Raw genomic sequence first — 25944 nt, 5'->3', positions numbered from 1 at the left:
CAGCGATCCTCCCACCTCAGGCTCCGAAGTAGCTGCGATTACAAGCATGCACCATCACACCGGGCTAATTTTTCTATTTTTTGTAGAGATGGGGTTTTGCCATGTTGCCCACGCTGGTCTTAAACTCCTTGGCTCAAGTGATCCTCCAGCCTCGGCCTCCCAAAGTCCTGGGATTACAGGCATAAGCCACCATGACTGGCCAGTTCCTGAAGTTTTAAAAAACACAGATTCATATAGCCACTGCTTCAATGCAGATACAAAAGAGCTCTATCACCCTAAGAAACTCCCTCGTGCTGCTCCCTTAAGGCCACATTCTCCCACTAACTCCTGGCAACCACCGATTTGTTGCCTAACATTTATAGTTGCATCTTTTTGAGGTTGTCATAAATGAAATAATACAATATGTAAACCTTTTGAGACAGGCTTCTTTCACTCAGAATGTTACCTTTGAGATCAATCAAGTTGCTGGGTCCCTTTTTTTGCCGGGTAGTCTTCCATTCACTGTATGGATGTACCAAAGATTACTTACTCATTTACCAGTGGGAGAAGTTTTCAGTGTTTCCAGTTTGGGGGTATTACAAACAAAGCTTTATGAAACACCGCTATACAAGTTTTCATGTGACCATAACTTTTCTTTTTTTTAATTTTATGGTTTTTTTTTGTTTGTTTTTTTTTTTTTGAGACAGAGTCTAGCTCTGTCGCCCAGGCTGGAGTGCAGTGGCGCAATCTCGGCTCACTGCAAGCTCTGCCTCCTGGGTTCATACCATTCTCCTGCCTCAGCCTCCCGAGTAGCTGGGACTACAGGCGCCCACCACCACACCCGGCTAATTTTTTGTATTTTTAGTAGGGAGGGGGTTTCACCGTGTTCGCCAGGATGGTCTCGATCTCCTGACCTTGTGATCCACCTGCCTCGGCCTCCCAAAGTGCTGGGATTACAGGCATGAGCCTCCGCACCCGGCCGTAACTTTTCATTTGCTAAGGTAAATACCTAGGAGTGGGACTGGTGGGTCATATAGTAAGTATATGTTTAACTTTATAAAAGGCTGCCAAGTGTTCTTCCAGAGTGACTGCATCATTCTCCATTCCCACCAGAAATGTGTGCAAGTTCTAGTTACTCCACATTCTCCACATCACTTGGTCAGGTCAGTTTTTCTATTTTAGCTGATGGTGTGGTGTCTCACTATGGTTTTTTTGGTTTGTTTTTTGGGAGGCAAGGTCTCACTCTGTCACCCAGGCAGGGGTGCAGTGGTGCTATCATAGCTCACTACAACTTCAATCTCCAGGGCTCAAGTAATCCTCTCACTTCAGCCTCCCAAGTAGCTGGGACTACAGCGGTATGCCACCTATTTTTTATTTTTAGTAGAGACATGCCCAGCTATTTTTGATTTTTAGTAGAGACAGGGTCTCACTATGTTGGCCAGGCTGGTCTGGAACTCCTGAGCTCAAGCAATCCTCCTGCCTCAGCTTCCCAAAATGCTGGCATTACAGGCATGAGCCACTGTCCCCAGCCTCACTATGGTTTTAATTTGCACTTCCTGATAGCTAATGATGTTGAAAATATTTTCTTGTGCTTATTTTCCATCGATATAACTTCTTTGATGAAGTATCTGCTCAAGTCTTTTACCCATTTTTTACTTAAACTCTATTTTCCTTCTGTTGAGTTTTGAGAGGTCTTTATATACTCTGAATACTAGTCTTTGTCAGATAAGTGATTTCTCAACATTTTCTCCAAGTCTGTGGTGTGTATTTTTATTCTCTTCACAGTGTATTTTGCAGAGCATGGGTTTTAAATTTTATGAATCCAATTTGTCATGTTTTTTAGTGGATCAGGCATTTGACATCATATCTAAGAACTTTTTGTCTAACTTCAGTTCATGAAAATTTTCTTCTGTTTTCTTTTTTAAATATTATGCTTTGAATTTTAACATTTACGTGTAAAATCAATTTTTAGTTAGTCTGTGTATAAGGTGAAATTTAGGTCAAGGTTCATTTTTTTGCAGGATGACTAATTATCCCAACACTGGTTTTGGAAAGACTGTCCTTTCTCCTTTGAATTACTTTTGCACCTCTGTCAAAAATCAATTGGTCATCACCTCATACCCATCAGAATGACTACTGTAAAACAAAACAAAAAACAGAAAATAATGAGTGCTGGTGTCAGAGGCATTTGAGCCAGAGCAACTCCATCTTGAATAGGAGCTGGGTAAAATAAGGCTGAGACCTGCTGGGCTGCATTCCCAGGAGGTTAGGCATTCTGAGTCACAGGATGAGATACAAGGTCAGCACAAGATACAAGTCACAAAGACCTTGCTGATAAAACAAGTTGCAGTAAAGAAGCCGGCCAAAACCCACCAAAACCAAGATGGTGATGACAGTGACCTCTGGTGGTCCTCACTGCTCATTTTACACTAATTATAACGCATTAGCATGCTAAGAGACACTCCCACCAGCACCATGACCATTTACAAATGCCATGGCAATGTCAGGAAGTTACTCTATATGGTCTAAAAAGGGGAGGAACTCTCATTTCTGGGAACTGCCCACCCCTTTCCCAGAAAACTCATGAATAATCCACCCCTTGTTTAGCATATCATCAAGAAATAACTATAAGTATACTCCAGTCAAGCAGCCCATGCCGCTGCTCTGCCTATGGAGTAGCCATTCTTTATTCCCTTACTTTTTTTTTTCTTTTTTGAGACTGAGTCTTGCTCTGTCACCTAGGCTGGAGTGCTGGAGTACAGTGGCGCAATCTTGGCTCACTGCAACCTCTGCCTCCTGGGTTCAAGCAATTCTCCTGCTTCAGCCTCCCAAGCAGCTGGGACTACAGACATGTGCCACTATGCCCAGCTAATTTTTGTATTTTTATGAGAGGCAGGGTTTCACCATGTTGGCCAGGCTGGTCTCGAACTCCTGACCTCATGATCCACCCGCCTCGGCCTCCCAAAGTGCTGGGATGACAGGCATGAGCCACCGTGCCCGGCCTATTCCTTTACTTTCTTAATAAACTTGCTTTCACTTTACTCTATGGGCTTGTGTGAATTCTTTCTTGGGAGAGGTCCAAGAACCCTCTCTTGGGCTCTGGGTCAGGACCCCTTTTTGGTAACACTGCTGAGAATATGGAGAAACTGAAACTCTTGAGCACTGTTGTCATGAGAATGTAAAATGGTGTAGCCACTAAGGTAAACAGTACGGTGGCGCCTCAAAAAATTAAAGAGAGAATTACACTATGATCCAGCAATTCTACTTCTGGGTGTATATTAATAATAATGTATGCTAAATAACATATACTACTAATAATAACCAAACTTGATTTATCCTGCTATACTCACCAACACAGAGTACTTCAGACACCAGATGTGTATGGGGTTCTCCCCACACACCAAGTAAGTAACCAGCTCTGCAGCATGGACACCAACTGGGTGTCCTCTAATTCAATTCAATTCTGACACTATCTACCTGGAGAGAGCATCAGATCCCACAGGTTGAGTGCTCAGTCCACAAGACTGCCCCCCACTTCCTATGCCAATTGCAAGCCCCAGGTTGCTTTACCTGCACTTCTTACTGACTGGCTATAAATGGGGGATCCCCACCTCTGGTCCGATTAATTTGCTAGAGTGGCTCACAGAACTCAGGAAGACACTTAACTTTTAACTTACATTTACCAGTTTATTATAAAGAATATTACAAAGGGTATTGATGAAAAGATGCCTAGGGTAAGAGATGAAAATAGACGTGGAGCTTTTATACCCTCCCAGGCATGCCACCCTCCAGGAACTTTCATGAGTTCAACTATTCAGAAACTTCCCACACCCTGTCATTTGCAGTTTTTATAGAAGCTTTGTTAGGTAGGCATAATTGATTAAACCATTGACCGCTGGTGATCAACTTAACCTTGAGCCCCTTTTTCCTCTCTAAAGGATGGGGGTAGGGCCAAAAGTCCCAACCGTCTAATCATTTCTGGTGACCAGCCCCCATCCTGAAGCTACCTAGGAGCTGCCAGCCATCTGGCAACTCATTAGCACACAAAAAGACATCACTTTGGAGATTCCAAGGATCTTAGGAGTTGTATGCCAGGAAATTGGAACAAAGACCAAATATATATTTCACAGTACAACAATACCCAAAAGAATTGAAAGCAGGGAATCGAACAGATATTTGTATACCCATGTTCATAGCAGCATTATTCACAATAGCCAAAAGGTAGAAGGAACCCAAGTGTCCATGCATGAATGAATGGATAAACAAGATGTTGTATACACAAACGAGAGAATATTATTCAGTGTTAAAAAGGAAAGAATTTCTGACAAATGGATGAACCTTGAGGACATTACATTAAGTGAAATAAGCCAGTCACAAATACTGTATGATTACTTATATGAGGTACCTAACATAGTCAAGCTTATAGAAAGAGAAAGTAGAATGCGGGTTGCCAGGAGCTGGGGAAAGGAGAAAGGGGCAGTTGTTGTTTAACGGAAATAGAGTTTGTTTTGCAAGACGAAAAAGTTCTGGAAATTAGCTGCACAACAATATGAATATATTAAACCATACTGAACTGTATGCTTAAAAATGGTTACGATGGTAAATTTATGTTACATGTATTTTACCGCAATTTAAAACAATTGGCCATATTTGTGAGGATCTATGTGTGGGTCCCATTCTGTTCCATTGATCTATATGTCTAAGTCTTCTCCAATACCACACTGCCTTGATTTCTGTAACTTGATAGTGTCTTTTTGTGTGTGTGTGTGTGAGACAGAGTTTCACTCTTGGTCGCCCAGGCTAGAGTGCAATGGCATAATCTCAGCTCCCTGCAACCTCCATCTCCCGGGTTCAAGCGATTCTCCTGTCTCAGCCTCCCGACTAGCTGGGATTACAGGAGCCTGCCACCACACCCGGCTAATTTTTGTATTTTTAGTAGAGATGGGGTTTCACCATGTTGGCCAGGCTGGTCTCGAACTCTTGACCTCAGGTGATCTGCCCACCTTGGCCTCCCAAAGTGCTGGGATTACAGGTGTGAGCCACCGTGCCCGGCCTTGATAGTGTCTTAAAATTGAACATTGCTTATTTTTTATCTGGGGAAGGGGGTGAGGTAAGATGGATAGCTATAAACAGAACTACTAGTATTGGAAATATATTCTTAAATAAACACAATGGACACAGTCTGATAAGCTTTATGCTGAGAAAGATGGGGACATGTTATATTTCTCTGTTTTCCAGTGCCCAGGCCAGTGCCTAACTACCATTGAGTAAGCACTCAATAAATGTTTTTTTTTGTTTTTGAGACAGGGTATTGCTGCGTTGCCCATGCTGGAGTGCAGTGGTGCAATCATGGCTCGCTGCAGCCTCCAGTTCCTGGGCTCAAGTGATCCTCCTGTCCAGGCTGGTCTTGAACTCCTGGGTTCAAGCTATCCTCCTGCTTCGGCCTCCCAAAGTGCTGGGATTACAGCACTTGAGTGCCCAGGCACTCAGTAAATTTTTGACAAAGGAATGAAGATATACCTTTCTTCACCCATTGCAGCCTAAAATGCAAGAGAAGCTCTGGGATATTAAAATGAGAAACAGTCTTGGAAAAAAATTAATTTGAGCACACAGAATATTTTCCAGTGTGCACTACAAAAAACATGTAGTCAAAAATATCCATAGAAGTGTTGCTTAGAATGGGGCAAAAGCCCAAGGGAAAACCCACCCTCACAGGGTTAATGAGAATTACAAGCCAGGCTTTAGGCTTGTATTGTAGTCAGGCATCAACCAGCATGCACTGGTGTGCTCTGACTCATTTCCCTGCAGCTGCTAACTAATCGAGGGTCATGCAGCACACTGACCACCTGCTCCCCCATTGCTCCCATAGATAGAATCTGACACTGGACATTTTACCCAAGAATTGCTTAAGGTGTTTTTCAGATCCTGAATTCCAGCAGAATGGCTGATGCCAACCGTCTGAAAACCCCTACCAAGAAAACGACTCAGCATCTCCTGGTCCCATGACTTCACTCCCCACTTCTCAACCAGTCAGCAATCCCCATACTTTAGCCCATCACCTGTCCAGACCCCTTAAAATCCCCATCCCCAAACCTCTCAGGGAGGCAGATTTGAAGTTTCCTCTCGTCTTGTCTTCTCATTCGGCTGCCCTACAGTTATTCAACTCTTTCTCTGCTGCAATCTCCACTGTTCTGGTGCATTGGTTTGTTACCATGCAACAGGCAATCGAACCTGGTGGTCCTATAACCATATTAAAATGAAACTGAGAAATAAATAAATAAATGTGAAACAGAGAGGTGTGACTTAGAAATTGTACACATTGGGTGTCACAACTTCCCTATACTTTGTGTTTTCATACTGACCTTGTTCACACTAATAAAGTGCCAACCTTGACTGACTGATTGTGATTCTGATGATGAGGAGGAAGAGGAGGAGAATAGGGATATGGTAAGAAGATTTTAAACCATTCTCTTTTCTCATCTTCCAAGTATTTACAAGTGGCTCAATTTTTCCAAGTATTCCTTTCTTTCTACAGAACTTCCATTAAAATAAAAAACAATTCTAAATCAAGCCTTATGGACAAGAATTAATGGTTCTCCCTAATATATCCCAAATCGGTGTGTCACTTGGGCAAGTCACCTCTCTCCCAGATTCTTATTTGTCCTACACGTAACTGGGGTTTTGCAACAGATGTTACTCTTCCTTCTCCTTTCCAGGTCTGTTAGAAACTTTATTAGGAAAGCCTGAAAGTAAAATCTGTACTGTTTACATCCAGAGAAATGTTTATACTGACTAAATAATTTCCTCAAATCTGGTCACCTTTCTATGGGAAAATTCCTCATCTTAACAATGTTTCATGCATAAAGTCATCTGGCCTCTTAACTGCATTGTTGGATATTTTTAAGACCAAAAGCTTGCTAAACCCAAAACAGCGAAAGCATTCAGTTGAAAATAAAGTGAAAAGCCACATATGTCTTAGAGGGAGAAAACAGTGCTAATGATTTTAGGCCTTAATAGTTTCAAGATCCCGATTGGCTGCTCTGAAAAGCCATCTTTGCATTGTTCCTTGTCCAGCTCCTTGCTCGCCGCGGCTGCCTCCGCCGCAGACTCTGGCAGCTTTATCGCCGGAGTCCCTGAACTCTCGTTTTCTTTTTAATCCCCTGCATCAGATCACCGGCGTGCCCCACCATGTCAGATGCAGCTGTAGACACCAGCTCTGAAATCATTGCCAAGGACTTAAAGGAGAAGAAGGAAGTTGTGAAAGACGCGGAAAATGGAAGAGACGCCCCTGCTAACGGGAATGCTAATGAGGAAAATGGGGAGCAGGAGGCTGACAATGAGGTAGATGAAGAAGGGGAAGAAAGTGGGGAGGAAGAGGAGGAGGAAAAAGAAGGTGATGGTGAGGAAGAGGATGGAGATGAAGAGGAAGCTGAGTCTGCTACAGGCAAGCGGGCAGCTGAAGATGATGAGGATGATGATGTCGATACCAAGAAGCAGAAGACCGACAAGGATGACTAGACAGCAAAAAAGGAAAAGTTAAACTAAAAAAAAAAGGCCGCCATGACCTATTCACCCTCCATTTCCTGTCTCAGAATCTAAACGTAGTCACCTTCCAGTATTGAGGCCCGCCCCCCCACCATGGGCAGTGCCACCCACAGATGACACACACTCTCCACCACCCAACCTAAACCGTAAGAATTTGCAACAGGGGAGGAAAAAAGAACCAAAACTTCCAAGGCCCTGCTTTTTTTCTTTTTTTCTTTTTTCTTTTTTTTGAGGCAGAGTCTTGCTCTGTCACCCAGGCTGGAGTGCAGTGGTGCGATCTCGGCTCACTGCAAGTTCCTCCTCCCGGGTTCATGCCATTCTCCTGCCTCAGCCTCCCGAGTAGCTGGGACTACAGGCGCCCACCACGACACCCGGCTGATTTTTTGTATTTTTAGCAGAGATGGGGTTTCACAGTGTTAGCCAGTATGGTCTCGATCTCCTGACCTCGTGATCTACCCACCTCGGCCTCCCAAAGTGCTGGGATTACAGGCGTGAGCCATCGCGCCCGGCCTGCTTTTTTTCTTAAAAGTACTTTAAAAAAAGAAATTTGCTTGTATTTTTAATTTACATTTTATATTTTTGTACATATTGTTAGGGTCAGCCACCTTTAATGATCTCGGATGACCAAACCAGCCTTCGGACCGTTCTCCGTCCTACTTCTGACTTTACTTGTGGTGTGACCATGTTCATTATAATCTCAAAGGAGGAAAAAAAAAAAAAACTTGTAAAAAAAGGGCCAGGCGCGGTGGCTCACGCCTGTAATCCCAGCACTTTGGGAGGCCGAGGCGGGCGGATCACGAGGTCAGGAGATGGAGACCATCCTGGCTAACACGGTGAAACCCCATCTATACTAAAAATACAAAAAATTAGCTGGGCGCGGTGGCGGGCGCCTGTAGTCCCAGCTACTCGGCAGGCTGAGGCAGGAGAATGGCGTGAACCCGGGAGGCGCAGCTTGCAGTGAGCCGAGATCGCGCCACTGCACTCCGGCCTGGGCAACAGAGCAAGACTCTGTCTCAAAAAAAAAAGATTGTTTTTCTGTTGTCGTTTTTGCTTTTCTTACAAGTTTTTTTTTTGTTTTTGTTTTGTTTTGTTTTGTTTTTTGAGAGTTAGTCTCGCTCTTTCTCCCAGGCGGGAGTGCAGTGGCGCGATCTCGGCTCACTGCAAGCTCTGCCTCCCGGGTTCAAGCCATTATCCTGCCTCAGCCTCCCCACTAGCTGGGACTACAGGCGCCCGCCACTACACCCGGCTAATTTTTTGTATTTTTAGTAGAGACGGGGTTTCACCGTGTTAGCGAGGATGGTCTCCATCTCCTGACCTCGTGATCCGCCCACCTCAGCCTCCCAAAGTGCTGGGATTACAGGTGTGACCCACCACGCCCAGCCCTGAAAAACAATCTTATTCCCACCATTGCAGTAACTTTTTTGTGTATGTACTTAGCTGTACTATAAGTAGTTGGTTTATATGATCTAGTTAAAAAGGCCGGCTGGCATGGCGGCTCACGGCTGTAATCCCAGCACTTTGAGAGGCCGAGGCGGGCAGATCATCTGAGGTTGGGAGTTCAAGACCAGCCTGACCAACATGGAGAAACCCTATCACTACTAAAAATACAAAAAATCAGCCGGGCGTGGTGGCTCATGCCTGTAATCCCAGCTACTGGAGAGGCTGAGGCAGGAGAATCGCTTCAACCCGGGAGTCGGAGGTTGTGGTGAGCCAGGATCCGCCATCGCACTGCAGCTTGGGCAAGAATGAAACTCCGTCTCGAAAAAAAAAAAAAAAAAAACTAACTAAAAAACAGGCCAGGCGCAGTGGCTCACACCTGTAATCTCAGGCCTTTTTTTTTTCTGGGAGGCTAAGGCGGGCAGATCATGAGGTCGGGAGTTCGAGACCAGCCTGGCCAACATGGCGAAACCCCGTCTCTACTAAAAATACAAAAAATTGGCTGGGCGTAGTGGCGGGCGCCTGTAATCCCAGCTACTCGGGAGGCGGACATTGCAGTGAGCTGAGATCGTGCCACTGCACTGCAGCCCGGGCGACAGAGTGAGTTTCCATCTCAAAAACAAAAAGGCCAGAGATAAAAGGCTTCTTTTTTTTCCTTTTATTTTTTTGAGACAGAGTCTCGCTCTGTTGCCCAGGCTGGAGTGCAGTGGCACGATCTTGGCTCACTGCAACCTCCACTTCCCGGGTTCAAGTGATTCTCCTGCCTCAGCCTCCGGAGTAGCTGGAATTACAGGCGTATGCCATCACGCCCGGCTAATTTTTGTATTTTTAGTAGAGATGGGGTTTCACCATGTTGGCCAGGCTGGTCTCAAACTCCTGACCTCATGATCTGCCCACCTCAGCCTCCCAATGTGCTGGGGTTACAGGCGTGAGCCACTGCGCCCGGCCTTTTTTTTTCCGTTTGTTTGTTTATAAAGTTGCTGGGGGTTTTTTTGGCCTGTTTGATATATGCATGAAACAATGTTGTCCAACAATAAACAGGAATTTTATTTTGCTGAGTTGTTCTTAAAAAAATAGTTGCAATATACCAGAGAGAAAATAAACAAGTAGGCTTTCAAAAATATCAAGGTTATTGGTATTTAAAATCAAACTATGGCTAGGCACGGTGGCTCACACCTGTAATCCCAGCTCTCTTGGGAGGCTGAGGAGGGAGGATCACTTCAGGCCAGAAGTTCGAGACCAGCCTGGCCAACATGGTGAAACCCCGTCTCTACTAAAAATACAAAAACTAGCCAGGTGTGGTGGTGCACATCTGTAATCCCAGCTACTTAGGAGGCTGAGGCAGGAGAACCACTTGAACCTGGGAGGCGGAGGTTGCAGTGAGCCGAGATCACACCACTGCACTACAGTCTGGGTGACAGAGTGAGACTCATTTCAAAAAATTTTAAAAATAAAATCAAACCATTAGAGTAGTTCAGACCTTCCCCTAACACTTGCAGGGCCCAGACTAAGAATGCAAAAGAAGGCCCAAATATCCTATATCCAGGTATTTAAGTTGCAAATCGAATTAAACTGTCAGAGAAAACATGCTCTATCTTCCTAGCTTGACAAATGCGCCCTTCTAAAACATTAAACTTTTTTTTTTGGCGGGGGGTTGGAGGGGACGGAGCCTTGCTCTGATGATGCCCAAGCTGGAGTGCAGTGGCATGATCTTGGCTCGCTGCAACCTCCACCCCCCCAATTCAAGCAATTCTCCTGCCTCAGCCTCCCAAGTAGCAGGATTACAGGCATGGGCCACCACACCTAGCTAATTTTTGTAATTTTTTAGTAGAGACAGGGTTTCACCATTTTGACCAGGCTGGTGTCAGACTCGCAACCTCAGGTGATCTGCCCACCTCAGCTTCCCAAAGTGCGGGGATTACAGAACATTAAACTTTTAAAATTGGTTTAAAGCTCTATTTCTCCTAAGGTAAAAAAATGGAGCTAGTGCAATGGTGTGCACCTATAAACTCAGCTACCCAAGAGGCTGAGGCAGAAGGATTGCTTGGCTCAAGAGTTTGAGACCAGCCTGGGCAACACAGCGAGACCTTGTCTCAAAAAAAAAAAAAAGGCAAAATGTCAAGATAATTGAGTGTGATTATGGTTGAATGTGTCTGGATGCTCTGATGATAAGCTGGTGATTAGGGGATGAGTAATAAAATAAAATACATATTGCATTATTATTATTTTTTTGGGCCTTCACTTATGTTATTTTATTTTCCAAGACGGAGTCTCACGCTGTCACCCAGGCTGGAGTGCAGTGGCGCGATCTCGGCTCACTGCAACCTCCGCCTCCTGGGTTCAGGCAATTCTCCTGCCTCAGTCTCCTGAGTATCTGGGATTACAGGCATGCATCACCATGCCAGGCTAATTTTTGTATTTTTAGTAGAGACGGGGTTTCACCATGTTGGCCAGGCTGGTGTCCAACTCCTGACCTCATGATCTGCCCGCCTTGGCCTCCCAAGGTGCTGGGATTACAGGCGTGAGCCACCGCGCCCGGCCCACTTATGTTATTATAATTGAAATCGGCACATAATTTATGCTCTACTGACGGTATAGATGCTTGTTACATCTAGTCCTACATACATACAAATGTAAGAATAGCATGCATCATTCAGTGTTAGAAAATGTTTCTCAGGTGCTATACGCAACTGTGGTGAATACCAAAGTGATTTAAGTACCTCAGGAATCAGAATTGGAATGTGAAAAGAACACGAATGCTCAGCATACCAATATTTCAATTAGGCAAGAGCTAATTGCTTTCATGCTAACCACGTGTAAGGATTTGGCAGGCAATTATGTTTTTTTCTTTCTTAAGTGCTTCCTCCTCTGGAATCCTTCCTCTAATTGGAACAGTATCTGCTTTGACATCAGTGGCATACAACCCACAAACTCTCATGACCTTTGTATGCAGGTGCCTTGTGTGTTGGGAGCATAGGTCAAGAGATATCCCTTGGTGAGCAGTGTTGCACATAAGCGTTGGTGTTTAGGGCTTTAGGTCATGCTGTGCCAGCACAGGGCATGGGGTCCTGAGAGACGAAAGCACCATTTGCCTGTAACAAAGCAACATAGGTATTGGGGTGCATAAAATGTGTTGGGGTGCCAGGGTTCACAGCAGGGTCCCTCTTGCCTGGGTCTAAAGGAGATATTGCTGCACTTCATAAACAAAACATTTGTACTAATTATGCCAAGAAAATTCTTTGTTCAACCTGATTCTACCCCTTTTAGGTATCCAATGTAATAAATTACAACTCCATAGTATTAAATTAATGTCTTCTTAAAGTAGAATCATAAGAACAGTAGAGAAATATAGTAATAAGGGAAACAATAAATTGGGGTCCTGTTCACTAGCAAATTGTGCCTGCTCTTTGTTGAAAATGTGAAAATTAAGGTAAATAGCATTATTTTCTAAAGCATGTACACAGGGTAGAGCTGTTGTAATTGTGTTTTTGTTTTTTTGCATTTCAAAAAGTCTCCTAGGCCGGGCACGGTGGCTCATACCTGTAATCCCAGCACTCTGGGAGGCCAAGGCGGGCAGATCACCTGAGGTCAAGAGTTCGAGACCAGCCTGGCCAACATGGTGAAACCCCGTCTCTACTAAAAATCACCCATTTTCCTTAGTTCATTCAACAGTGGGATTCCTGTGGACTTATGTTTTCTAGTTTTGTGGGGGAAAATCAGAACTACTTTCCCAGAGGAAGTGAAAGTTAAGCTGAGACTTAAGGAGGTGGCATTCAGCCAGGTGAAGGGCAGTAATCCAGGTAAAGTATCGAACCATATATCCCCCCAGTTCTCAGTAGTGCTCAGGGGACATTCCCCTTAGTGATGATTCATGTGGCAGTGAGCAGGAGAAGCAGCTGACTGCCACGTAGGACAACTGCTGTTTTACTCCTAGCTATCTCTCTTGCCCAAGCAGTAGTATACAAGTGGGCATGTCATATATTAAAAAATATATATTCAATATATACAAATATGTATCATATATTATTTATATTATATATATCTATAGGTATCCATCTATCTATCTAGGAAACAACATAAGAAATGTAAGAGCTGGTCCCTTGCATTGGAGAAGTTTATACAGCAGTGAAGGATATAAACAGGAGAATCAGACTTAGGGAAAGTGAATAAGGAAAAAACATCACGAAATGCCAGGTGAGTGAGTGACCTGCATCATACTTGCACTTAAAGCTTCATCTCTTCACTCCCTGAACAACCAGTGAAACAGAAAGCAAGGATAGGGGAACTGGCTAACAGCTGGTTTTGATGTCTTGTCCCAAGAACTCCTTTCTGGCCTGGCGCAATGGCTCACGCCTGTAATCCCAGCACTTTGGAGACTAAGGCGGGCGGATCACTTGAGGCCAGGAGTTTGAGACCAGTCTGGCCAACATGGTGAACCCTGTCTCCACAAAAAGTACAAAAATTAGCCAGGCATGATGGCGCACACCTGTAGTCCCAACTACTCAGGAGGCTAAGGCATAAGAATCACTTGAACCTGGAAGGCAGATTTGCAGTGAGCTGAGATTGTGCCACTGTACTCCAGCCTGGATGGCTGAGTAAGACTCTGTCTCTGGGAAAAAAAAAAGAAGTTATTTCTGATATCCGGAACCCCTTCCGTCAAAAAGAAAAACACCACCAAAAGAAACCAGTCATCCCATTACAGTGTGCAGGTAAAGAGCACTGAGTTAGACTTCTTCCTCCAAGGGCTGGTCCCAAGCTGCAACCTGGACACTCCTATAGCTAGATGCCTGCAGTGTGCAGCGGCTCCCCAGCCCGAGGCCTTTGCGGAGGCTGGGCTCATCCCACTCACCTAGACCTGGTGAAGGGGGAAGGGAGGAGGGCCAAAGGTGTGGGGCAAGGGAGGGTGAGGAGAAAGAAGGAAGACAGAGACTACAGCACTCCATGGTCAATGGCATAAAAGAGGGCCGGCTACCTGTTGTCAGGGCCACTATCACAACCTCCTGCTACTCCCATGCATGGGAGGGGCAGGGCTGGGCCTGGGTGCTACCTGGGAGGGGCATCCATCCATAATCTGGATCCAGGCCCCACCTGTGCCCCTTCCCTTCTGGAACTCCCACCCTCACCCGCTTCTCTCTGCTGGGTTCAGTCTTTCCGTCGGGGAAACCTGTGGCACTGTTTGTCTAGGTAAAATCAGGGCCCCGGCTTTATTCTGGGAAGCTCTGAATAATAATTACTAGGGAGAAGAGGGAGGAAGCAACGCGGTAAATCAAGAAAGGACTGGGCGCTGATGAGGTCCCCGCCACTGTGTTGTCACTGAGCTGTTGTGGTGCTGCTGTCAGCGCACCCGGGCCCACCTAAACCTTTCCATTTCTTACCTACATTTGGTCTCATTCATTCGCATCTAGAAATGTATTCAAATGAAAAACAATCCAGGATATATGCATACGTTAATTTTCAGGGATGTTTAGCAAGGCTATTTGTGGTAGAAAAATTGGAAGCTACATAAATAACTAACAATAGGTGACTGATTCTAAATCATGGAAATTCGTTTAGTAAAACTTTTTTTTTTTTGAGACAGAGTCTAGCTCTGTGACCTGGGCTGGAGTGCAGTGGTGCAATCTCGGCTCACTGCAACCTCTGCCTCCCGGGTTCAAGCGATTCTCCTACCTTAGCCTCCCAAGTAGCTGGGATTACAGGCGCCCACCACCACGCCCAGCTATTTTTTGTATTTTTAGTAGAGACAGAGTTTCACTGTGTTGGCCAGGCTGGTCTCAAACTCCTGACCTCATGATCCGCCCGCCTCAGCCTCCCAAAGTGCTGGGATCACAAGCATGAGCCACCGTGCCCGACCAGAATTTTTTTTTTAGACAGGGTCTCACTCTTTGCCCAGAATGCAGCACAGTGGCATGATCATGACTCACTACAGTCTCCAGTTCCTGGAATCAACCAATCCTCCTGCCTCAGCTTCCTGAGTAGCTGGGATTACAGATTCATACCACCACCCTTGGCTAATTTTGTGTGTGTGTGTGTGTGGAGATGGGGGTCTCTCTGTGTTGCCCAGGCTGGTCTTGAACTCCTGGGCTGAAGCCACCCTTGCGCCTCGGTCTCCTGAAGTGCTGGGATTGTAGGTATGGGCCACCACACCCAGCCTTTTGGTAGAATTTATTGCGCACATTTAAAGTCATTTTATGGGAGAATATTTATGATTGACAGAAAATGCTCACTATAGGCCAGGTGCGGTGGCTCACGCTTATAATCCCAGCACTTTGGGAGGCCGAGGCAGGTGGATCACTTGAGTCAGGAGTTCAACGCCAGCCTGGCCAACATGGTGAAAGCCTGTCTGTACTAAAGATACAAAAATTAGCTGGGCGAGGTGGCCTGTGCCTGTAGTCCCAGCTACTTGGGAAGCTTGGGAAGCTGAGGGGGGAGAATTGCTTCAACTCCGGAGGCGGAGGTTGCAGTCAGCTGGGATCATACCACTGCACTCCAGCTGGGCAACAGAGGGAGGCTCCATCTCAAAAAAAAAAAAAGCCCACTATATATTGAGTAAGGAGAAAGCAGTTTACAAAACAGGTTTTGGCGGGCTTCAGAAGAAAACAGGGAGACATAATATGGATGGGCAGAGACAGGAAAGTGGTATCTCTAGGTAGCTGGCTGCTAGGAATAAATTTTATGCCGTGTTATTTTTGCAAAGATAAGAGACAAAAGGATATGTTTTAAATTGCGGGGGTGGTCAGCAGTTCACTCACCGGTGCTTGTGGGCTTTGTTCCCTCCCTGGAAAGGGACGGAGAATTCCACATCCAGAGGGAGCCCTGCCGTCCATGGTTCTGAGCTTGAAGTCACTAGGACTTCTTTCAAACTTGTGTGCCGAGGAGACTCCGATGTTGGCCTCAGTTCCCAGGCTGAAGTCAGCAGCTCAGCCCATGAAAACTTCTGTATTGAGACAAAGGAAAGGATCTGTCAGAAAGCAACACCTATTGTCCTGAACTTGACACTAAGAAAGAGGACAAGTGATAAAGAAACTGAAGACAAGTGGTAGAGAGAGGTGTAACATTCCAGCCCCTCAACCTAGAAATGTTAGTAGAATCAACAACAGCTTAATAGACCAAGAGTCAGAATCCCCCAATGAAGATTCTTCATAAGAAAAAAGAAGACAGGGATATAACTCATCAGCAGCTGCAGGGCAGGCCATGCAAGACGGGGGAAAGAACAAAAATTTTCCAAAAAATCAAAATTGGAACTCTGAACTTTTCAGGTCCCAGCTTACTTTTTAAATCTCAAGCTAATCAGAACTTTGCCAGGGCCAAATGTAGTGAACCTCCATCACCAAGTGTTCTTCCCAAACCACCAAGCTGTTTCCTTTAATTCTTCCGATAAGGCAATAATGACATTTTAACTTAAAACCTTACTTAAAGTACAGGTACAAAATAAGATAAAGTACTAATGTTTACATTTAGCTATGTTTACAGATAGTTGTCAACTGGTCTAAAACAAATACACCAAGGGATTAATGTATTAGTGTAGAACTGTTAATTAGTATAAAAAATAAAATTGACTTCATCTCATTTGTTTTATGTGTTGGGTGCACTGTGATGTAATGATAGCATCAGTGCAACTTAAAGTAACTAAATTAATAATTGTACTAATTATTAAGGGTTCTCAAATGAGTTTTTTTTTTTTTTTTGAGACAGAGTCTTGCTCTGTCACCCAGGCAGAAGTGCAGTGGTGCAATCTTGGCTCACTGCAACCTCTGCCTCCTGGGTTCAGGCGATTCTCCTGCCTCAGCCTCCTGAGTCGCTGGGATTAAAGGCGTGCACCACTACGCCCAGCTAATTTTTATATTTTTTGTAGAGACGGGGTTTCACCATGTTGGCCAGACTGGTCTCAAACTCCTGACCTCAAGTGATCCGCCTGCCTTGGCCTCCCAGAGTGCTGAGATCACAGGCATGCGCCACTACACCCAGCCTCAAATGAGTAACTTTTAAGTGAAACCATTCAAGTTTAGATTTGGGGACTAGCAAGGGCATCAACTTTTTCTATTGAATGTTGGGGGAAAATAGTAATATACGATTATTATTCATGGATAATAGATTGCTGAAAGTGAATCAGATTGTAAACATCTAGCTAAGACACAGGATTAAGAAGTAGGTAAACTTCTGAAAGTTCAGTATACTAGAAGCACTCAAACCAGTAATATGCCAACAACCTGATGCACTGCCAAAAGAAAATGTGAAGTTTTCCTAATAGTTGCATTTTAGTAAATTGTACAGTGGTGAAACTGGAAAGGGCACTTGGGGTTTATTAGAACGAGGCAGAGTATACCCCAATGTCCCTTTCTCTAAATGCAGTGGATAGGTGTCTGCCAACAAATACACCAAAACCTTTTTTTTTTTTTTTTGAGATGGAGTCTCCCTCTGTTGCCCAGGCTGGAGTGCAGGGGCACGATCTCTGCTCTCTGCAAGCTCTGCCTCCCGGGTTCATGCCATTCTCCTGCCTCAGCCTCCCGAGTAGCTGGGACTACAGGTGCCCACCACCATGCCCGGCTAATTTTTTGTATTTTTAGTAGAGACGGGGTTTCACCATGTTAGCCAGGATGGTTTCGATCTCCTGACCTCATGATCCGCCCGCCTCGGCCTCCCAAAATGCTGGGATTACAGGCGTGAGCCACCGCGCCCAGCCCAAAACCATTTTAAAAAAAATAAAACATCATTTAACAGTCACTCAATAGCTTTCAAAATACATTTTTATGGCTGGGCACGGTGGCTCACGCCTGTAATCCCAGCACTTTGGGAGGCCGAGGCAGGCGGATCCAGGGTCAGGAGTTCGAGACCAGCCTGACCAACATGATGAAACCCCATCTCTACTAAAAATACAAAAATTAGCCAGGCACAGTGGCACATGCCTGTAATCCCAGCTTATTCAGGAGGCTGAGGGAGGAGAATCGCTTGAACCCAGGAGGCAGAGATTGCAGTGAGCCAAGATCTCGCTACTGCACTCCAGCCCAGGCAACAGAGCGAGACTCCATCTCAAAAACAAAACAAAACATTTTTATATTATGGCACTGCCTAAGCTATTCTGATAGTAATACGACCTCATCATTTCTGCAAAGCTTGCCTTGGGGAGAGGAAGCTTGCTTTGGAGAGTTGTATAATGTGAAAGTTTTAAGTAACTAGGGAAGAAAGAGCCATGTAAATACATGTAATAAACTTGTAGCATATGTAAAGTTTTCTTGGCCTTTATCCTACAAAAACAGAATATTTTAGTATGAATTTGCTGAACATAAAAGAGTGTGGACTTTTTTTTTTTATAGTATGGTCTAATTTTAAAGGTCCAAAATAATTTTTTTTTTTTTTAAATCACTTTATTCTGGCCGGGTGCGGTGGCTCACGCCTGTATGTAATCCCAGCACTTTGGGAGGCTGAGGCGGGCAGATCACGAGGTCAGGAGATCGAGACCATCCTGGCTAACACGGTGAAAGCCTGTCTCTACTAAAAATACAAAAATTAGCCAGACATGGTGGCACATGCCTATAGTCCCAGCTACTCGGGAGGCTGAGGCAGGAGAATTGCTTGAACCCGGGAGGCAGAGGTTGCAGAGAGCCGAGATCACGCCACTACACTCTAGCATGGGCAACAGAGCCAGACTCCGTCTCAAAAACACAAACAAAAAAAAGAACTTTATCTTAAACTAAAGTCTGTTGCCAGGCACAGTGGCTCACACCTCTAATCCCAGCACTTTGGGAGGCCAAGGCGGGCAGATCACTTGAGGTCAGGAGTTCGAGACCAGCCTTGCCAACATAGTGAAACCCCATCTCTATTTTTTTTTTTAGATGGAGTCTCGCTCTGTCACCCAGGCTGGATTGGAGTGCAGTGGCACAATCTTGGCTCACTGCAACCTCTGCCTCCCAGGTTCAAGCAATTCTCCTGCCTCAGCCTCCCAACTAGCTGGGATCACAGGCGCCCACCACCACGCCCAGCTAATTTTCGTATTTTTAGTAGAGACGGGGTTTCACCATGTTGGCTAGGCTGGTCTCAAACTCCTGACCTCATGATCCACCCGCCTCGGCCTCCCAAAGTGCTGGGATTACAGGTGTGAGCCACTGCACCCGGCTGATAATTTGCATTTTTAACTGCTTCCCAGGTGATGCTGATGCTGATGGTCCAGGAACCACACTTCCAAGAATCACGGAAACAAAGCCTATATTCAACAACAAAATTTGCATAATTCTGTCTCCCTTTTATCTCAAACAACAGCTTAAAGGAAAGAAAATAGATTAAGTATCATCCAGAACACACATAATGTCATTTTATTTAATTCTCACAACACTCTACAACATAATTGTTACATCATTTTGTGGAGGAGGATGTTACATCTCAGAAATTAAGCAACTCCTCAACATTATACAGTAAGGAAGGGGTGAACAAATGTGTTTGACTTCAAAATCTACATTCTCTGTTATACCTTGTTGCTTCTAATGATGTTTAGCCAGCATAATTGTATTAGCCCAGAATTTTAACTTCATTCTACTTTCTATGTCGTGGTCTGTCTTCTACTTAGTTGTAGTCTATTTTAAAATTTTTGTTATAAACTGGTTCAAATTATCTAAAGAAGGCCAGGCACGGTGGCTCACGCCTGTAATCCCAGCACTTTGGGAGGCCGAGGCAGGCAGATCACGAGGTCAGGAGATCGAGACCATCCTGGATAACACGGTGAAACCTCGTCTCTACTAAAAAAATCCAAAAAAATAGCCGGGCCTGGTGGCAGGTGCCTGTAGTCCCAGCTACTCGGGAGGCTGAGGCAGGAGAATGGCGTGAACCCGGGAGGCGGAGTTTGCAGTGAGCCGAGATCACGCCACTGCACTCCAGCCTGGGCGACAGAGCGAGACTCCGTCTCAAAAAAAAAAAAAATTATAACTTGGGGGAAGTGTAAACCACACTAACCACATGACAAAAGACATTACGAAGAAACACATCTTACTGCTCACCGGTAGCACAGGTCACTGTTCCTTAGGAACCGGTCCACCATATTCTCCACTCGCACAAACCAGCTGGGCACTGCTTTGTAAACGAGGGGAGTGTCTCTCACATCGCCAAGTACTAACCAATAACCATATCACATACCTCTAATACATATAAATTCAATTCTCTCACTCTCCTGTATAAACACAGAACCCCATCTCTCTATCAGAGACACATATACTACATTCCCAGAATATATAACCCTAATAACCACTCACTGAAAAATACAAGCACATAGCTCCACAAAACATTCATCCAAACTGCCATGCCCTTGAACACACACACACACTCAATACTCATGGAGTTCCCTACATGCCCTAAATATACCTGCGATTAACTAACACGCCACAAATATGCAAACATGCCACCTCATATCCCCAAATACACATCCAGTCCCACAATACCTGCACATATGTAATCACACCTCTAAATGCTCACACAGAAATAACTCCTCCATTTTCCAAGACACAGAATCATACAAAGTCCACCTCACAACTGCACACATTCATTCTACCAGTCCCCCAATAGTCATGGATCTGCCCTCACACATTGAAATGGCCATACACAACCCCTGAAAATCGTGAAAAGAAACACACACAATGATGCAACATATCCTAAGCACACAAATGGTCTTCCTACATTCCCCAAATATGTAAACCACAGTGTACATCCACAAAAATAGACACAAGCACTTTCTCTATTATTGCCCACATGCACAACAAGGTAATTCTTCCAGATCTGCCAAACATTAGACAAATACAAATCCCCAACATTCATTTCAGAAAACTTATGGAAAATACATCTTCACAACCCAAATCACAAATATCGAACCCCAATTCTTCTTGTATACACATATTACACCTCATATCCTCCAAATATAAACACTCACACCTACACACTCTCACAAAAGCAGTTATGAATAGTTATGAATGACCTTCTTTACTTTTCCTTTTTTTTTTTGAGATGGAGTCTCGCTCCTACCTTGAAGTGCAGTGGCGTGATCTCCTCTCACTGCAGCCTCTGCCTCCTGGGTTCAAGCAATTCTCCTGTCTCATCCTCCCGAGTAGCTGGGACTACAAGTGCATGCCACCACGCCTGGCTAATTTTTGTATTTTTAGTACAGATGGCGTTTTGCCAAGTTGGCCAGGCTGGTCTTGAACTCCTGACCTGAAGTGATCCGCCCACCTCAGCCTCCCAAAGTGCTGGGATTACAGGCATGAGCCACCATGCCCAGCCCAATTATGACCTTCTTTAATCTGCAATCTCCACACAGACACCACCAACCCACACAGGTGAATACATATTAGATTCTCACGAATTAAATACGCAACAAATTCCAAACTAAGCATTCATATAAACACATTTTCACATACACACAGCCACCCCCACAAATCTCACACCCCCCAAAATGCAAAACAAATCTTTCTCACATTCTCAAGTACACACACTGACCAACTGCCCAGGACACACACGTGTGTGCAGTAAATTTTAGATATAATACATGTGTAGTCTACAATTTACAAATAATAATATACACTACTTTTTATTTAAATTCCACATAAGTAAGCGATTCTCATAGAAGCTTTTCTTGACTTTGGCCACACTCTTGCTTCCACAACCAACTTGTGCTACCAAGTGAACAGACTATGAGTAAAGGCCTCTTCTTCCACTTTGCAGCTGCTCATATCATTGACAAACGAGCATATTAGAGCATGCATGCTGGCTGATCATTCTGATTAAGGCAACAAGCTTCACAACTCACTCAATGAGGTCGTCCGTGAGAACTTCACTGATTTTACGAGGACAGGAGCTACTTCTTTGCTGAAATGCATCACGGTTTCAACTGCTGAGGTTTTCCTCAACCTTTTGCATTGTTTGGAATGTGAGCAGCACGGCCGAGACAAACTTTGGGGTTCCCACTGCATTGTTAAACCTCCCCCTTCACTTCAAGGCCAGGCGAGCAAGGGAAAGGAGCGCGGCCTGGGCGTCCCGCAGGGCCCCGCTAAGGACCGCTCCCGCCTTGAGCGCAGCCACAGGCCCTCTCTGGCCACAAGGATGGGGTCGCCCCGCAGACACTGTTGACCAGCGGAAGCATGACCAGGAGGCGATTACCTTCTAATCACAAATAACTTTATTTTTAGGTAACACCACGGAGGACGCCATGAGAGCTAAGGCCGTTGGGTAACCGCCCTTTCCGCTCGCGCTGCGTCGTCTCCCTGCCCCGAACCACCGGCAACCGATGCTGGGAGCGGTTGAGGGCGGCCGGCTGCGCGCTGGAACCCCGCCCGCCTCAAGGCTCCTGCGCAGGCGCGCAGGGCAGGCGTGGAGCCCGCCCTGGGAGGGCCCCGCAGGAGATGGGGAAATGGAGGGACGCTGCACCAGGGCGCTTCCTGGGGCCAGGCGACGCCTTCTCCTTGGAGCCTCCAAGACCGTCCCTCCTAGAAACGAGAGAGTCTGACCGGGCGCGGTGGCTCACGCCTGTAATCCCAGCACTTTTGGAGGCTGAGGCGGGTAGATCACCTGAGGTTGGGGGTTCGAGACCAGCCTGGCCAATATGGTGCAATCCCGTCTCTACCAAAATTACAAAAATTAGCCAGGCGTGGTGGCGCGCACTTGTAGTCCCAGTTACTTGGGAGGCTGAGGCAGAATTGCTTGAACCCAGGAGGCGGAGGCTGCAGTGAGAGGAGATCACACCACTGCACTTCAAGGTGGGAGCAAGACTCCATCTCAAAAAAAAAAAAAAAAAAAGCTAGTACAGAAGCAACTCACTGACTTGAGTTTGTAGTAGCTTCAGAACAAACTTTCATCATCAGATCCTTTCTGCTCATTTGCAGGATTCCTACCGTCTGTCTCCACGTGATGACACTGAAGAGCCTTCACGTCTATGACGGCCTAGGGTCTCAAGTGCAGAGACTGAGAGCTCTGCCAGACACAGCATGGAGCCGCCATTCCTCTACTGTTCAGTGATTGGGTGGAAGAGCATCTGTCCTCTGAACAGGGGATCCAAGCCCTGAGATGATGTTTCTCAGCAGTCAGTGTGGCCCAGGACTTTCTGTGGGCATGCTCAGAGAGCAGGGGCCAGAGGACTTTTAGCCACCACCTTCTATGGCCAGTCTTCACAAATTACCTTTGGCTAATTTGATTGTCTCTCCTCCTGGGGTCTAGGACTTCAAACACATACAGAAGCGATTGCAGAATTGAAACAAGACACTTCCACAATATACTTTTTGTATCAGTGGCTCAGAAAAAGACTCATTCAAATCCTGTATCAAAGCCATGTGTGAGCATCTTGAGAAAGCATTGACTGACTAACTTGACAAGGGAGGAAGCAAACAAGAATTCTGCCCTTCTTCAGTGCCTGAGTGTGATATTTTGCCTCAACATCCCTCTTAGATGAAGTTACTGATTGAAAATCATTTAAGTTTTTGCCCCGTGATAAAAGATCGCGTCCTCAGAAAGATCTCCAAAGCATTTACTGTTTGTTTGGTTTGGTTTTGGTAAGTTTACCATGATTTTGCTTGAATTGCTCTCCGCTGATCTTCTCAGCTAAGATCGAGGTAGAGTTGCACAGCAGAAGAGGGCTGCATGTAAGGAGGCAGCTCTGTCTCGGAGGACAAAAGGCCTGGGAGCATCCAGACAGGCAGTCACTGTGTGGAGGTCACTCCCCTCCCAGTGGCCACTGTGGAGGCATTTCATAGAAATGCTCGCTGGACCATTCAGTTTTAGAGTTGGGACAAAACCGAGAACTCATGAGGATATCGGATAGGAGTTAGGAAATGACTTTTTCACACAACCCAGGCAAGGAGGGGAGAACCCTGGGCTTGAGACTTGCAATCCACTGCCTGCCCCTGCAGTGTGGCCCGTTACGTTTTCTGCAACTCTGCCTTCTTGAGTCCAAATGTCTTTGAAAGGGGCAAATGCTTCTTAAGTGCCAACAGGGTGTGTTTCAGTGAATGTTCACAGTGTGCACTGGTCCGGCTGAAGGCCTCTTCCCTTCCCCAACACCCACCCATCAGTGCAAAAGACTGCTGCCCAGCAGGGAGTGACATCTGTGTCTCAGATTTTCTTGCTGTGCTCTGAGTACTCACTCCTCATCTCCTTTGACCAGTTTCCTAACACTCCCCTTGTTCACAACACAGAACATGAGTGCTCTTTCCTGTCATTTTGACGCTGATAAACAGCAATTCTGTGTGAAAATGAGAATGAAGATTTTTTTAAAGACAGGCTACAATAATTCCCATGCTGAGAACCACATGTGATGACACTTGTGATGAAGATGAGGACAGCAACGAGCTGAGAGACTCCAACCAGGATTCACACATGCAAGGGGATGCATGAGAATGGGGATGGGACATTGGTGGTTAGCATCCTTGCTTGTCTCAGAATGGACGTGGGTTGTGGATTTCTAACTCCTGGAGAAACCAGAGTTCTAGGAATTGTAAGCCACTTTATGTTAGGAAAGAAAAAGACGGTGTTCTGCTCTCCTGTCCCTTAAAACTGTGCGTACTGCCACTAAACCTGGAAGCTGAGAACGGTATAATGGCTACTCCTGACTTCCTTTCATCAAATCAGCCTGCTATTGTTTTCTGCAATGGTTGTGGTGCAGAATCTTTTTGTGGTGCAGCCAAGATTCACACTTGAGTCTCCTTACTGCAAGTTCGCACTCTCACAGTGGAGAGTTAACAATAATTGCCTAATATGTTACACTTTTTTGGGAAGAGTTACCAGATAAAGTGCAAGATCCCAGTGAAATGTGAATAGCACAGATAAAGGACAGATTTTTTTTTTTGTAAAAGTGTACTCTAAATGTCATATGGATCATAATTATAGTAAAAACTAATTCACTGTTTATCTTCAATTCAAATTCCACTTGGTATTCTTTATTCATACTTGCTAAATCTGGCCACTATGTTCTTTCATGTATTTTTAATTTTAAAAAACAGTCCAACATCTCATTCTAGCAATTTACCTACAGAAATAAAGAGAGGAACCACATTACTGGGACAAATACAGTCACTGCAAATATCAGAAGAATACTAGAACATATTAATATATTAATTTTTACCCCCAAAAAACTGAAAATATTTTTAGACAGCAAAAATAGCTTCATTATGCTTTTGATTGCATAATATATCTCTGGAAAGATGAAAAAGAATCAGATAACACCTATTTCCTCCAGGAAAGAAAATGTGGTGGCCAGAGAAAAGAGGTGGGAGGAAGGCTGGTCATTGTCTATTCCACTGTGCACAATTTGAATTTGGAACCATGCAAAAGTATTGCTTAGTTAAGTTAAAATCATGTAAAAGATACAAAATAAACATTTAACACCAGCACAATATGCTGGGAAACAAAATGAAAGGATTTCTGGTCTCGGTGCTGTAGGTCACATAGCCTCTCTTTCCTGGACTGAGTCTTCCTAAGAAAGGGGACGGGAAGTAAGGCTGGCCTACTGGTGTGGACAGATTCCAGCAACATACATGACCTGGGGGCACAAGGACTGCTTCCTAAACAATGATGAGCACACAGCCACCTAATAGCCTGGATCAGCTGAGGCCATTCTGATTTCAAACACTCAGTCCCCTTGCCTTCCTAAGAACCCCTGTGTTTCTCAGACTGAAAACGTGTTCTGAATTTTGTTAAGTAAGTGTGGCCCCTGTTGAAATTCATCAAGAGTGGGAAAGAGCCAAAGTGGGAAGGAGCATGGGTTGATTGGCACAAAAGTAGGTCTGTTGATAAAGAATGGAAGTAAAGGGGACATCAGGTAGAAGCTTTTGCTGTGAGTCAGAAGGACAATTTAAAAGTTGCCTAAAGAGGCGCACACTGTCTGTGTTGCTGCCATCCAGTTGGATGGCAACCAACTGAACCAAGGGAACCTCAGGTTCTTGCCTACTGGCCAGAGCCCTTCACAGAATGTCCCCCACCCCCGCCAAGCCCGGCTGCCCACTGCCCCTCCCCCTCTGCAGA

General features: G+C 45.2%; 2 long non-coding RNA genes and 2 pseudogenes across 2 annotated transcripts in view, besides 2 other annotated features; 3 read left to right on the top strand and 1 right to left on the bottom strand.

Annotated features, from left to right (window-relative positions):
• The window catches only part of LOC100132077 (uncharacterized), a 28473-nt gene extending 6218 nt beyond the window's left edge, over positions 1-22255 (bottom strand). The window contains exons 1-2 of the long non-coding RNA NR_033937.1: positions 21743-22255; positions 15711-15895 (exon numbers count right to left, since the gene is read on the bottom strand). This is a non-coding gene — a long non-coding RNA (uncharacterized LOC100132077). The remainder of the gene's footprint in view (positions 1-15710; positions 15896-21742) is intronic.
• Positions 7006-7733, top strand: PTMAP12 (prothymosin alpha pseudogene 12; annotated as a pseudogene).
• On the top strand, positions 13149-16456 carry PNRC2P4 (PNRC2 pseudogene 4; annotated as a pseudogene).
• Positions 13418-13918: an enhancer, noted in NCBI's record as "H3K4me1 hESC enhancer chr9:97103095-97103595 (GRCh37/hg19 assembly coordinates)". NCBI's record gives its function as "activates a minimal SCP1, AML or CMV promoter by ChIP-STARR-seq in naive H9 embryonic stem cells {active_cell/tissue: H9 hESC(naive)}" and the evidence as "EXISTENCE:reporter gene assay evidence [ECO:0000049][PMID:30033119]".
• Positions 22110-22349: a silencer, noted in NCBI's record as "silent region_20055". NCBI's record gives its function as "represses an Ori minimal core promoter by ATAC-STARR-seq in GM12878 lymphoblastoid cells {active_cell/tissue: GM12878}" and the evidence as "EXISTENCE:reporter gene assay evidence [ECO:0000049][PMID:35858748]".
• On the top strand, positions 22247-24431 carry LOC124902217 (uncharacterized). Its single transcript, XR_007061673.1, has 2 exons — positions 22247-22688; positions 22815-24431. It is a non-coding gene; the product is annotated as an uncharacterized LOC124902217 (long non-coding RNA).
• The last annotated feature ends 1513 nt before the right edge of the window (positions 24432-25944 follow it).

This window comes from Homo sapiens, chromosome 9, assembly GCF_000001405.40.
Source record: "Homo sapiens chromosome 9, GRCh38.p14 Primary Assembly".
In the NCBI taxonomy this organism is placed as follows: Eukaryota; Metazoa; Chordata; class Mammalia; order Primates; family Hominidae; genus Homo; species Homo sapiens.
Note: the sequence above shows the minus strand (reverse complement) of the source record. Positions and strands in the feature narration are given on the sequence as shown.